This window comes from Homo sapiens, chromosome 6 (genome assembly GCF_000001405.40).
Source record: "Homo sapiens chromosome 6, GRCh38.p14 Primary Assembly".
In the NCBI taxonomy this organism is placed as follows: domain Eukaryota; kingdom Metazoa; phylum Chordata; class Mammalia; order Primates; family Hominidae; genus Homo; species Homo sapiens.
The window spans coordinates 3746351-3760022 of record NC_000006.12 but is presented as its reverse complement, the minus strand read 5'-3'; the positions used below and the strand labels follow the sequence as shown (position 1 = coordinate 3760022).

Sequence of the window (13672 nt, the reverse complement as noted above, 5' to 3'; positions counted from 1 at the left end):
CGTATTTAAGAATGTTTACTGGAATGCCAGTATGTGAAAAGCATAAAACTCCAGCGACCCACCCTCCGTCAGTCCATAGGATTATTTGGTTCTGTGACTAATGTTGATCATCTTGGGTTTTCATTGATTCTTAGGAGTCCGGGTGTTCAAAAACAGCAACTTAAGTTTAGCAAATAGCTCAGTGGCAGCTTAGGCCTTGAGTCACAAATTCCATCCTTAGAAAGCCAGCAGCATGAAACATAATTCATATTGGCAAGAACTTGCAGAAATCAGAAAGTCAAGAATGAGGCTGGGAGTGCTTTGGAGTAGCAAGGCTGAGAAGGAATACAGATAAAAACATTCATAGAGAATTCACATTGCTGAGTGTCTCGGTGGTCATCTGCAGTCCCCCCTTCTTTGTAGTTAAGCAAACAGTGAGTACAAGTGATGGGCCATGGCCACACAGATAGTTCATCTGCAGTGACAAGAGAAGTGACCATGGAGATAATTCAGAGAACTTGCTTAGATGAATTTTCAAATTACTGCACTAGTGCTTGTTCATTGCATTAAATTTGGAAAACACGGAAGTACACAAAGTCAGTAATCCTATTCTTGAGAGATGATCACCATGAACATTTTACTATGACCCATTTGAAGATGGTTTTTTTTTAAGATGATTTTAGGCCTAGGATATAGTGTCTGGAATTGGTGGGTTCTTGGTCTCACAGACTTAAAGAATGAAGCCACAGACCCTCATGGTGGCATTCATAGTTCTTAAAGACAGCATGTCTGGAGTTTATTCCTTTTGGTGGGTTCGTGGTCTCACTGGCTTTAGAAGTGAAACTACAAACCTTGGCAGTGAGTGTGTTACAGCTCTAGAAGGCGGTGCATCTGGAGTTGTTCGTTCCTCCCGATGGGTTCATGGTGTCACCGGCTTCAGGAGTGAAGCTGCAGACCTTCACGGTGAGTGTTACAGCTCATAAAGACGGCATGGACCCAAAGAGTGTGCAGCACCAAGACTGATTACAAACACCAAAAGAACAAAGCTTCCACAGAGTGGATAGGACACCGGAGCAGCCTGCTTTTATTCTCTTATCTGGCCCCACCCACATCCCTGCTGTTTGGTCCATTTTATGGAAAGCCGATTGGTCTGTTTTACAGAGCTGAGGTCCTTTTTGACAGGGTGCTGATTGGTGCCTTTACAACCCCTGAGCTAGACACAAAGGTTCTCCACGTCCCCACTAGATTAGCTAGATACAGAGTGTGGACACAAAAAGTTCTCCATGTCCCCACTAGATTAGCTAGACACAGAGTGTTGATTGGTGCATTCACAAACCCTGAGCTAGACACAGGGTGCTGATTGGTGTGTTTACAAACCTTGAGCTAGATACAGAGTGCCGATTGGTGTATTTACAATCCCTTAACTAGACATAAAGGTTCTCCAAGTCCGCACCAGACTCAGGAGCCCAGCTGGCTTCACCCAGTGGATCTCGCATCTGGGCCGCAGGTGGAGCTGCCTGCCAGTCCCGCGCCTGTGTGCCCACACTTGTCAGCCCTTGGGTGGTCGATGGGACTGGGCGCCGTAGAGCAGGGCGCGGCGCTCGTCGGGGAGGCTGGGGCAGTGCAGGAGCCCACGGCGTGGGGGAGGCTCAGGCATGGCGGGCTGCAGGGCCCGAGCCCTGCCTCGCGGGGAGACAGCTAAAGCCCGGCGAGAAGTTGAGCACAGCAGCTGCTGGCCCAGGTGCTAAGCCCCTCAGTGCCCGGCCGGCGGGACCTGCTGGCCGCTCCGAGTGCGGGGTCCGCCGAGCCTACGCCCGCCCGGAACTCGCGCTGGCCCGCAAGCGCCGCGCACAGTCCCGGTTCCTGCCCGCGCCTCTCCCTCTACAACCCCCCGCAAGCCGAGGGAGCCGGCTCTGGTCTCGGCTGGCCCAGAGAAGGGGCCCCCACGGTGCAGCGGCGGGCTGAAGGGCCCCCCAAGCGCGGCCATAATGGGCGCCCAGGCCGAGGAGGCACCGAGAGCTTGCGAGGGCCGCCAGCATGCTGTCACCTCTCAACATGGGCCTCCAGTAAAATCTGGATTTGATGATGGGTTGTGAAATTTTCCCTAATGTTCCATTACTGTCCCTTCACAAGATCAAGGGACGGCATTGTTCCCGTGGGAAGACCAGTGTTGGCTGGCTCTCGTCTTTCACTCATTTGCCCATTTAATAAATATTTAGTGAGCATTTGCCATGTGTCAGGCACTGTACTAGGCACTGGAAATACGGTTAGGAATGAGACAGTTGTCTAGTCCCTGCCCTCCTAGCGATTACACCGCAGCCAGGAAAACATAACAAACTCATTACAATTATGAACCAATGCAGGGCACCAGGAGACGGTATAATTGTGTCTCCTGACACATCCCAGACCAAGCAAGGCCTACGCTAGCATCTGCCTTGCTGCTCAGAGTGGCCGGCAGATGGTCATGAGCTCTGGCAGCCCGGCAGAAACGCAGAATCTCAGGCCCCACCCAGGCCTCCTGAATCAGAATTTACTTGGTAACAAGTTCCCAGGAAATTCACAGGCACTGGAGAGTCTGAAAAGCACTGGTCTAAAGGAAGAATGGGAATGAGCAGTCCAGGGCAGGGGTGGCAGGCATTCCACACTGAGGGCCTGTGAGCGGGTCCCTGGGGAAGGCACAGGGCCGTTGGAGACCATGAACACCAGTGTGCTGGAACCCGGGCCGGACCAGTGAGTGGATTTGCAGGGGCCCGGCCAAGCAGGGCCTTGGTGTGGGACTAGCCCTCCACCCAGGGCCTTTCCAGACCCTCTTGGAGCCTTGTTTCTTGAATCTAAGGAACAAGGATCTCCCTGTCCCCTTGGGCTGTTGTGAGGATCAAATCAGTTACTGTATCTGCAAACATTCACAACTCTGAGGTCCCATCCCTTTTGTTTTGAAGAGAAACAGAGAAGAGCTGTAGTTTTTTTTTTTTTTTTTTTGAGACTGAGTCTTGCTCTGTTGCCGGACTGGAGCGCAGTGGTGCGATCTCGGCTCACTGCAACCTCCGCCTCCCAGGTTCAAGCGATTCTCCTGCCTCAGTCTCTCAAGTAGCTGGGACTACAAGTGTGCACCACCACACCCAGGTAACTTTTGTATTTTTAGTAGAGATGGGGTTTTACTATGTTGTCCAGGAGGGTCTTGATCTCTTGACCTCGTGAGCTGCCCACCTCAGCCTTCCAAAGTGCTGGGATTACAGGCGTGAGCCACCACACCTGGCCAAGAGCTGCAGTTTTGTGGGAAGCTCACTGAACTATCTTACCGTGTCTAGAACAACTGCTGAGGCAGAACTTAACATGCAAATCATGGTGCTCTTGTAAACAGCTTGTCAATCACATGAGGCTCCAAACTCCTTGCAAGCACAGATAGTGATTAAAAAAAAAAATAAAAGACCCTCTTTAGCTCTCCCTTTAGGGGTTGGGGGAGGTAAAGTAGGTGGGGTGGGAGAGGGGGTTACAAATAGTGGAACCTGTGGGGTTAGGGCACCCTGGGGCGAGCATCTCCTCTCCCACCCCACACTCACTGCTCACCTCCTGGCTCTAGAAGTTAATCTTATTTTTCAGACTATAGCAGCACGGAGTTCCCTATTGTGTTGTCAGATGCCAGATGAGTAGGTCACAGACAGAGACCTGGAGGGATGCCTCCGGGGTTTTGCATTGTCTTGCTGTTCACTTTGAGGGCCGGGGAGAACACATAGAACTTAAAAAAAAGCTAAATCCAAACAAAACTACCACCGAAGAAAAATAAACAGGACACCCCAACACCCCCTCAGAAGAAAAGGCCTTGAGTTTCATGAAGTCTTTTATTCTCATTATTTACTCTTATTAATCGGATTGAAGTATCTGGTTTCCAAAGCTCTTACCTACAACAGGACTCCTCCTTGGCTACACCTTTGTAATTCTAAACCAGGCTTGGAAGATGGGCAGGTGACCCAGAGAGCTCCTCTTTGTTCTCCATTTGCACATTCTATTATGTAGCCTCCCGCAATGAACTAGCTCATCAGCTGGATTTACAACCCGAAACCACTCCGTCTCCTCTGTATCTGTTACTGACATTTATATAACACAAGTCCTCAAAGGTGTTTACTGCACACTTTCAGCCATGTACCATTTTATTTGTCCTCACAACAGTCGTGGGCTTTTTAATTTTTGTTTTAAATTCCCATTTCACGGAAAGGCAAATGGAGGCAAAGAAACATCAAGTGAGCAGTTTGAGACTATATGATTGGAGTTCATCAGTGGCTGGGTAGGACCAATAGTTAGAAGTAGTCAGAAGTTCTAATACTCACTTCAGAGATTCTTTTATTATCATCATTATTAGAAAATTATTTTTTGTCTATTTAATATCTTTAATAATTATATCATTTCTAAAGCTTTCCACAAAAGGGCATTGCAGTTCTTCAATTTATTGCAGACATATCTTTAAAAAAAAGTCAGTCCTAATATTGAAGCTATAATACAGATTTTAAAATTATTGTCATTATACTGTAAACCACAATGAAGAACATCTTATTTATTTATTGAGACAGCGTCTCACTCTGTCACCCAGGCTGGAGTGCAGTGGCGCAACCTCAGCTCATTGCAACCTCTGACTCCTGGGTTCAAGTGATTCTTGTGCCTTAGCCTCCTGAGTAGCTGGGATTACAGGCACCCTCCACCACGCTCAGCTCATTGTTTTGTATTTTTAGTAGAGACAGGGTTTCACCATGTTGGCCAGGCTGATTTTGAACTCCTGACCTCAGGTGATTCTCCCTCCTTGGCCTCCCAAAGTGTTGGGATTACAGGTGTGAGCCACCGCGCCAAGCCAGAACATCTTATTTAAATGAAAAGGGATTAATATTTCACCAGGCAATAAATGTAGCAGTTTCTTTTCTCTCCATATCTACAACCAATGGTGATATTTTATAAGCTAATTCTAAAGAGAAGCATTTTTTTTTAAATGATAAAAGCCACGTTTTGCTCAGAACTACTACTGTTCACATACCACATAAGTTGTTTTACAGCAAATACCAGTTTGCCAGGCTCCAGATGGCAAAATGCTAAGTTGTGAGTTCAGTATTGTCCAGCTAGTTGTTTTTCTGAGATCCGGCAGCATGTACTGTTGAGAGAGGACACTGTGTTGCCGCCACTTCTCATAGCTGTCTACTATGGTAGACCATTCATGTCTTTAAAATGCAAGTCTTAGCAAAAAGCCTCCCACAAATTCAGTGGATATCACAATGTTCTGTTTGATAAAGTCAGTTGCTTCTTCAACTGTATTGTTGATTTCAGGTGCTGCTTTATTTGCTCATTTCTTAGTCTGTCTTTTTTTTTTTTTTTCTTTTTTGAGATGCAGTCTTGCTCTGTCATCAGGCTGGATTGCAGTGGCGTGATCTCGGCTCATTGCAACTTCTGCCTCCTGGGTTCAAGCGATTCGCCTGCCTCAGCCTCCCAAGTAGCTGGGATTACAGGCGCCCACCACCACGCCCAGCTAATTTTTGTAGTTTCAGTAGAGATGGAGTTTCACCATGCTGGCCAGGATGGTCTCGATCTCCTGACTTGGTGATCCACACGCCTCGGCCTCCCAAAGTGCTGGGATTACAGACATGAGCCACCACGCCCGGGCCTTAGTATGTCTTTTTGCTTTATGTACGTCTCTTTCAATTCTCTTCCAGTCAATCTGGAAGTCACTGCAGTTGCTGCAACCTTCCCAACTTTTGGGAGCAAAAATCCTGCATACCAGCCTGTCACGCCACACATTCCAATCTGGGTAGCTACTGAGTATTTCTCTGTAACACCATAGGTCTCCAACTGGGGCCAAACACTCAATTCCACCGCTGATGTCTTCTTGCATACTCAGTTAAATCCAACACTTCATAAGAGTCGTCATCACTTTCATATTCTTGGGGGCTGGGGTTAGAGGTCACCATGATACCACAGGTGGCCTGTTTTGGGGTGGTCCTGCCTGCCCTCCTCTTCCTGGCACTTTCAGAAAATAAGTAACAGAAAAATACTGAGAAGAAAATAATAATCTTATTAAGCAAATGGGCTTGTCACCGGTGGAGGATGTCCAGGTTCTTGGCATCTTGAACAAAGAATTGGACAAAACGCACAAACAAAGCAAGGAAGGAATGAAGGGATTTATTGAAAACGAAATTACATTCCACAGTGTGGGAGCGGCCCGAACATAGGGGCTCAAAGGCCCCGTTACAGAATTTTTGGAAGTTTAAATATCCCCTAGATGATTCCATTGTTTACTTCACTTACCCTCTACGTAAATGCAGAGGATGAAGTAAAGTTACAAAGTCACTTACAGCATACGCCCTATGGAGTGGATATTTCCTGTTACAGCCGAAGTGTGAATTGGCCTTATGTTCCCTGCCTCCTGACCCTATTTTCCTGCCTCAGGCTCACTGCTCAATGTACACGGAAGCAATACCATGGTACTGCCTTTGAGAAAAGAAAGACTTTATTGCAAGACCAGCCAGCAAGGAGACAGGAGGCAGGTTCAAATCTTCCTCCCTGATTTGGGGTCTGGGGCAAGTTCTAAGGAAGCAGAGGGCAAAGGAAAGGACTTAGAAATGTTGGCTGGGCAGGATCTGTTTGAAGGCCTTCAAATTTGGCCATTTATGGTACGGTATGTTGAGGTGGATTTTAGCCCCTATCTTCTGGGCCAAGAGACCCTTCCCTTCTGAGAGTTCGAATGTTCGGGTTCCAGTCATGTCCCAGTCTTCTTCGTTCCAAGGAGACGAATAGTTGGTTCTGGATGTTTGTTAGAGATCAAATCTTTTTCTATGGTGCATGCCTGGGCTTTGTGACTTAAGAGTTTTTGGCTCTGTTATACCTGCAAGGTAACTCAACATTGTTACAAACAGAGTAAGCCCCGTTTGGGCTGGTACTGTGGTTACAACGGCACTTATTCCCACCACCTAGAGTCAAGAGCTGCTGGCACACTGGCTGTTTACTTCCAGTTCCCACGGCCCCTATTCCCCTATACAAAATTACACAGGAAACATATGCGTTCATTTAATTAGCAAGTGTATATAAAAACATCATAGACAAAGCAAAAGTCTCTCTTGACACTCTCCATCTTGACCTGTTCACCGCCCCAGACCAGGTGAGGAAATTTGAAGCTATGCTATCTGCAAGTCACTGGCGCAGTCGGAATAAAAGTTGGTCGTGGTGGGGGCGGGGGGGGGGTGGTCATCTGGGTCGGGACTGAGTCGAGGCAGGTGGGACTGAGTGGTAGGGACCTGGGGGGACATCTGGGTCGGGTCTGAGTCCAGACAGGCCACCTGCCTTGGGCCTCTAACATTTCCGCGCAGCGCTGGGCTTTGAGGCTTTCCAGAGCGCTGCCGGGGCGGGGGCGGGGTGAGGTGAGGGGCTCACCCTGGCTCTCCCACCCCTGCCTACGGGCTGTGAGGTCACTCGATTCATTTCTGGAACTAACTTGTAATTCTCAAACAAGTGCTATTAATTCTCTTCCAACTAGGAACGGCCTCAGTAACGCGCCGCTGAGTCAGTTTTCAGGGCGGGCGGTTTCCCCAAGTCCACTCCTGAGGCCCCTCAAGAGCACCCACCGCGTCCAGCTTCCCAGGGCGCTCCTTCCCAGGAGACCTTCTTTTCGCCACTGTTTTCTCCCCTCTTCCCACTTCTCCGAGGGCTGCCCCGCGGTCTGTCCGGCCGTGTCCCAGGCCTTGGCGCGGCTGAGGCATGACCGGAATGCGCGGGAGGACGCGGGGCACGGAGGGGACCTGAGGCACGGAGGGAACCCGGGGCGGGCCGGACTGGCCTGGGCCCTCGTCGGGGCGGTGCTCGACCCGGCCCGCGCCCCCCGCCCCGACACTCGCAGCCCCGCCTCCGGACCCCGGGTAGTTGCCATCCCCTCGCGGGCCGGGTGGGGCGCGCAGCTCCTAGCCCTGGGAGGTCCCGAGGATCGCGAAACGGAAAGAGAAAAAAGTCTGCGCCGAGCGCCTGGCAAGCAGGGCCCGCCCCGCCTCCCTTCCCGGCTGGTCCAGTCACCGACCTGCGGCTCCGGGGCCGCGAGGGAGGAGGCGCGGGGGGCGCGAGGCGGGGGCGAGCGCTTGGGACTCGGCCCGGCTCCCGGCTCCGGGGGTTCTCGTGGCCGCGGCAGCGCGGTCTCTGCGGAGGCGGCGGGGGCGCGGCCAGCCGGACCTCTTCCTTTCCAGAGCGGCCCGCGGCGCCCGTTCCGCGGGAGGCGGGCGGGAGGCGGACGCGGCCTAACCTCGACGTCGACTACCGCGCCGCCCGCGATGGGAAGCGCCTTATAAAGCCGCGCCCGGCCGGCCCGAGCCACTCGCCGCCGCGCCGCCCCGCTGCCCCGAACGCGGGCCATACGCAGCCTCCTTGGAGTGACGGGCCGACCCCGGACGACCCCGGCCACGGACAGACCCGGGACGACCCCGGCCGGGGCGCGCCTCCTGCGGGCGGGCGGGCGGCGGGGCTGGGGAGCCCTTGGCGGGGGCATGCGTGCGACATGGCCTCGGCGGTGTTTGAGGGCACGTCGCTCGTGAACATGTTCGTGCGCGGCTGCTGGGTGAACGGCATCCGCAGGCTCATCGTCAGCCGGCGCGGCGACGAAGAGGAGTTCTTCGAGATCCGCACGGAGTGGTCGGACCGCAGCGTGCTCTACCTGCACCGCAGCCTGGCGGACCTGGGCCGCCTGTGGCAGCGCCTGCGCGACGCCTTTCCCGAGGACCGGTCCGAACTGGCGCAGGGGCCGCTGCGGCAAGGTGCGGGGCCGGGGACGCGGGAGGGGCGCGGGGCCGAGGCAGCCTTGAAGTGCACGAAGGAGGCGGGGAAGAGACTTCAACCGAGATTGCGACTTCTCCTTTCTGCCCGCCCTGGACAGGGGACACTTGGACCCCGCGCCCGCAGACGAGGGGTGCCCGGGCGGCGGGGTTAGGGGGACGGGGAGCCAGCCTGCCCAGCCTGGGGGCGCCCCCGGCGGAGGAGCCAAATGGGGCGGGAAAGGGGCCGAGGCCGGCAGGGCGGGCGCCGGACTCTCCCTGAGGACGAGTCACTTCCGAGGAGGGCGGGGGCGCCCGGGGCTGAGCGGCTCACAGGGTCGGCCCGGCCCTAGCCCCCTGCCCGGTACCTCCCGAGGGCCGGCGGGCGGGCGCACTGGGAAAGCGTCTGGGAGCAGTTAACTGCAGGGTCCGAGCCGGGGGTCGCGTCGGGTCTGGCCGCCGCCCCGAGTTCTCCCCGCGGAGGGCGCGCCCCTGGTCTTCGAGCGCGAGGTGCCACGCAGCCCTTCCGTCCCTCCTCGGAGCGGCCGCCCCGCCCGCGGCTGCCGCGGACAGCCAGGGCCCCCCCGCACCCCCGCCAGGGCTGGTCCCCATTCGCGTTTGATCAGCTGCGCCGCCTCCTCCCCGGCCTCGTGACCGTCCTGGCTCGCGGGAATTCTTGTTTTCAGAAACCGCGGTGGCTTCCCTTTTCCTACCGCTCTGCCCGATCTTTCTTTTGGAGGCCAGGCTGAGGGGGTGGAAGCCGGGAGGACGCAAGAGAGAGGGACTGGAATTGAGACGGGAAGAATTGCGGGGTGGAGGGGGCAGGCCGAGGAGAGGGGCCGCCTGGGAGGGCCGGGAGGGGAGAAGGGGCGGGAAGACTGGAGGACTTCCGAGCAGGTCCCACCCCCCTCCATGGGTGACCACCTGTAGCTCGGAACATTGGGACAGTGGCCCAGCAGCCTTCTTTTCTGCAGTCCTCCTCTAAGCAGAGACCTCCTGAAAGCTTGGGGCCAAGTTACTGAAGCAGAAGGTGGCCCGTCCAAGTCTCCCCAGCCTCCTATCTGGCTGCGTTCTTGAGATAACCTGTGCTTTCCCCTGGCGATGGCCCCAACCCCAGTGTGAGAATTACGTGGATAATTAGCTTAGTTCTCATGACACATCTTTTGGAAGGGCTCCCACAGCCAGCGAGTTGGGGCCCTGAGCGAGAAGGCCCGCCTTTCAGGCCTCCCTCTGCTCCCCAGAGCCTCACATTTATAGCTGTTCTCCAGACAGTTGGGTGTTATTTCAAGCATGGAAGCAGTTTTCCTTGGATTTGCTGTTTGTTATGATATTTTAAATTTAACAAATCAATGCCCAAATCAGGAAAGCATCGTGAAGGAACAGCGGTTTATTCAATGACCTTTCCTGGAACGAGGCTTAAATACACTGGAGTCCCTGAGCTTCACTGTGGTCAGGCGTCTGAGCTCCGTGACCCCAGGCAGGCTGGTTGGAGCGGGATCCCCGTGGGGCTCCCCACCTGTAACTTTGTGCTTGTGGTCTCTGACGTTTGTGAGGACTGAAAGGCATGGTAGAGGGTCTAACAAGAGCAGGTTCTCCATAAATGCCAGTTGTCATTGTTACCGTCCCATCAGCTGCTTCTGGCTGGGGTTGGGCCAGACGGTGGAAAGAGGGCGTGGTTTCAGTTGCATCCACGCTGGTGGAAATACCTCACCTGGAGCAGGAGGGAGGGGCGTGCCCTGCACACACCCTGGCTCCGCCTCTTTTGCTGTCGCCCTAGTTGTGCTGGGTCTGTTACGCGGTCACAAGCTGTGTGGACACGCAGGAGTGGCTCAAAAGAGTGAAGAAAGGTTGAAGACGCGAGCGATTACCGTGGAGAAAAGGCTCAGAAGGGATATGATAGCTACCTCCAAGTACCTCAAGGGGAACAGAAATCAGAAATAGGGGTCAGAATGATGGTGGCAGGGCTGGTGGGCGGTGAGTGTGAGGTCCAGCGGCTGGGTGTAAAGGACTTTCTCACAGCACACCGTGGAACTGTTGGAGCTGCTCTCTCTGCTGGGGACAGTCTGGCACACCCTGGAGGGGGTGAAGAGGGGAGCCTGGGACCAGAACCGGGACCATAAGCCCTGCCTTCATTCTAGTCCTTGGTTTTCTGAGGGGCAGTTAGTTGGTCCCTGCCCAGCACCACCTGAGTTTTGTTGTGCAGCGCCAGGGAAGTCCTTTCCCTTTCTTTGATCCTTTTAAGTCCAGGGAAATTGTTTGCCAAGTAAAATATATCCCAGTAATGTAAAAGCAGATTGCACCTTATTTCCATGCAGATTTATTGTTTGCATAAAAAGATTATCTGGATATACAAACTATAAACACAAAAGGCAGCCAGATGTGTGTGCTTTGCTGTGCTGCAATGCCGGCTTTTCTCTGCATCATTCCCTATCACATTCCCCAGTTTACATGGATTGAACTGTTTCTGGGACGGGTTAGATTTGCATTCTCTAGTTCCATTTAAGAGATTTGTGAGGAAATCTGGATTTCTGAGCTTCTGCTGGCAGTGGGCTGGTGACTCTTGGAAGTGTCTGCACACCCTTGGAGGGTGTGGGAGCCTTGGCCCCACTTGCAGCTTTGAATCTGCTAGCAATTAAAGGGATGCTGAGCCCTTTTCTTGGTCCCTTGAGTACTGCAGTGGGGGAGAATGTGCTTTTTCTCTCTCTGCACACACACACTGTGGAGTGGTGCTTGGAGGCCATCCCTGGGCCTTGTATGTGTCACGGTGACACATCTGCAGGGATATGTCAATCCCTGCCTGGGGTGGAGGCACAGTGCTCACTAGCGCTCTCTCCTGGACTTCTGTTTGGGTGAGGTCGGACCGGGCTGACCTCAGGACTTGCCCAGCTTCTGTCCTCTCTCCCCTTTCCTCGCACTCTCACTCTCCCACCCGACCTTCTTCTCCATCCAGATTGGATATGCCCCCTCTCCCTTTCTTGTCCCGCAGCCCTAGGGGAGGGAGGTAGCTGTTTCCTGGGGATATTGTCGCCGGGTTACCAAGGTGTTCCGTTCTTGTGTTTTCCAGACTCTTAACACCAGTGGGCCCAAGTCTTTCATTTCAGTCCCCTCTGTGCGATACCTAACATGGTTCAGGGTTACCCTTTATTTACATCTCTCGCATCTAGGAAGGTTTATGCTTTAAAACATAAACATGTTGAATTTCCTTGTTGGCATTTTGAGGCTCCTAGACTTTTTCGATTGTTATTTCTATAGTTTCAGGCTTTGTGATGTCTGAGCCAACCAGGTCACCACTGCAGCAACAGATTGTGTTCCCGAGTAGTCAGGTGATCTTTCATTCTTAGTAGCTGTACAATCAACATTTTGCTTTTACATTCATTCCATCAAATATCTGCATAGTGCCTACCACATGTGTAGGTGATGGTGGCACAGCAGTGAACAAGAGACCAAGAACATCCCTGCCCTCATGATTCTTATATTCTGGTTGGGAGAAATCCAATAGTAACAAGATAAACAAGTAACAAATACATTAGATAGTGATACATGTTCAAAAGGAAAAATAAGTAAGCAAAGAAAGGGGCTCCGACTTACAGGAGCAGGGGGAGGGGTTTTGCGTTTAGACAGGGTGATCGAGGACAAGTGACTTTTGAAGAGAGACATGAAGGAAAGCGGGGATCATGCCATTGGGTGCCTGGGGAAGTCGATTCTAGGCAGTGGAAGAGCAGGTGCAAAGGCCCTGAGGCTGGCATGTGCCTGGTGGGTTTGGGGAGTGAGGAGGTACGGTGGCTGGTGTGGAGACTGTTGGTCAGGAAGGGAGAGAGGAAGGTCGTGGTCACATTTGGGCTTTTATTCAGAGAGGGCTCTGAGCAGAGAGGTGATTTGGCCTGACTCAAACTCGGGCTGCTGTGCTGGGAAAGAGCAGGGGAGGCGTGGAGGCAGGTGCTGGGGGCTGGTGCAGCAGAGCAGGTGGGAGAAGTGGGCAAACGCTGATGTGCATTGAGGGAGAGCCACAGGGGCACTGCAAGGCCAGACATGGGGTGTGGAGTAGTGTGCAGATGACCCCAGAGTTTTCAGCCTGAGGTGCAGGACTGGCAGGATTGCCATTTGCTGCCATGGGGGAGTCGGCAGGAGGAGTTGACATGGGGGAGGGGGTGGCTCAGGAGGGCAGCTTGGGAGGCGGCATTTTAGCGTTTTCTCTTAGTAAGGCCATGATCACAAGCCCGCCAGCCCATGTGGTGCTAATGTACCTGCCTGTGCTCATCTTTATCACCAAAGACATTCATCTACCTGCATGCTAGGAGACTGTCGTCTTAGATTTGAGATCCGAGTACCAGGGGACTGGCATCTGGGACATTACCAGAAAAGGGCTGGACACAGATGTGACTACCAGACTCCCACAACCCTGACAGCTCTAGGAAGATGCGTGATTTGATCCCAGGGCCTGAACCTGCTCATGCTGTTCTCGGGTGGACAGTGAGGGGAGAAGCCCTGTGTTACCCTGAAACATAAGGGAGAATCCCACCCGATGGCCAACTGCAAAGCCACGGAGTTTACTTTCTTAGTGACAGTGGCTCAGAAATGATCATGGGCCACACCAGTCCCGGGCAGCAGAGCAGGGGCACAGAGGCACCATCTCTGCCCCATCCAGTGGGCCCTTGCAAGTGGGGTGCTGGCTGGGCCTGCCCTTTGCCTTCAACCATAGCTCCACCCCCGTGCAGAATTCACCTGCGTCATTCTGCCCCACCCAGAGGGGCAGCTTTACTTCTCAGGGGACTTGGATCTTCCTTTCTGACTCACAGACCTATTTTTGACTCTGTTGACCTGGCCAAGTCACCCTGCACTGGGGGTGCCCTGCCAGGGCTCCCATGGGGCCACCCACCTTCACGCGGCCTCCTCTTCCTCTTTCTTCCTTCTGTTTTGCTTTTCTTTGC

General features: G+C 53.4%; 1 protein-coding gene across 2 annotated transcripts in view, besides 5 other annotated features; it reads left to right on the top strand.

Annotated features, from left to right (window-relative positions):
• Positions 2245-3210: an enhancer, noted in NCBI's record as "H3K27ac-H3K4me1 hESC enhancer chr6:3757047-3758012 (GRCh37/hg19 assembly coordinates)". NCBI's record gives its function as "activates a minimal SCP1, AML or CMV promoter by ChIP-STARR-seq in primed H9 embryonic stem cells {active_cell/tissue: H9 hESC(primed)}" and the evidence as "EXISTENCE:reporter gene assay evidence [ECO:0000049][PMID:30033119]".
• Positions 3373-4239: an enhancer, noted in NCBI's record as "NANOG hESC enhancer chr6:3756018-3756884 (GRCh37/hg19 assembly coordinates)". NCBI's record gives its function as "activates a minimal SCP1, AML or CMV promoter by ChIP-STARR-seq in naive H9 embryonic stem cells {active_cell/tissue: H9 hESC(naive)}" and the evidence as "EXISTENCE:reporter gene assay evidence [ECO:0000049][PMID:30033119]".
• Positions 7797-7966: a silencer, noted in NCBI's record as "silent region_16857". NCBI's record gives its function as "represses an Ori minimal core promoter by ATAC-STARR-seq in GM12878 lymphoblastoid cells {active_cell/tissue: GM12878}" and the evidence as "EXISTENCE:reporter gene assay evidence [ECO:0000049][PMID:35858748]".
• Positions 8017-8256: a silencer, noted in NCBI's record as "silent region_16856". NCBI's record gives its function as "represses an Ori minimal core promoter by ATAC-STARR-seq in GM12878 lymphoblastoid cells {active_cell/tissue: GM12878}" and the evidence as "EXISTENCE:reporter gene assay evidence [ECO:0000049][PMID:35858748]".
• Positions 8310-13672, top strand: part of PXDC1 (PX domain containing 1) — a 29095-nt gene continuing 23732 nt past the window's right edge. For both annotated transcript variants that reach the window (XR_007059222.1, NM_183373.4), the window contains exon 1: positions 8310-8747. Coding sequence is in view for 1 of the 2 variants with exons in the window: in NM_183373.4 (NP_899229.2) it covers positions 8492-8747 (256 nt within the window). In the remaining variant the exon portion in view is untranslated. The remainder of the gene's footprint in view (positions 8748-13672) is intronic.
• Positions 9007-9086: a silencer, noted in NCBI's record as "silent region_16855". NCBI's record gives its function as "represses an Ori minimal core promoter by ATAC-STARR-seq in GM12878 lymphoblastoid cells {active_cell/tissue: GM12878}" and the evidence as "EXISTENCE:reporter gene assay evidence [ECO:0000049][PMID:35858748]".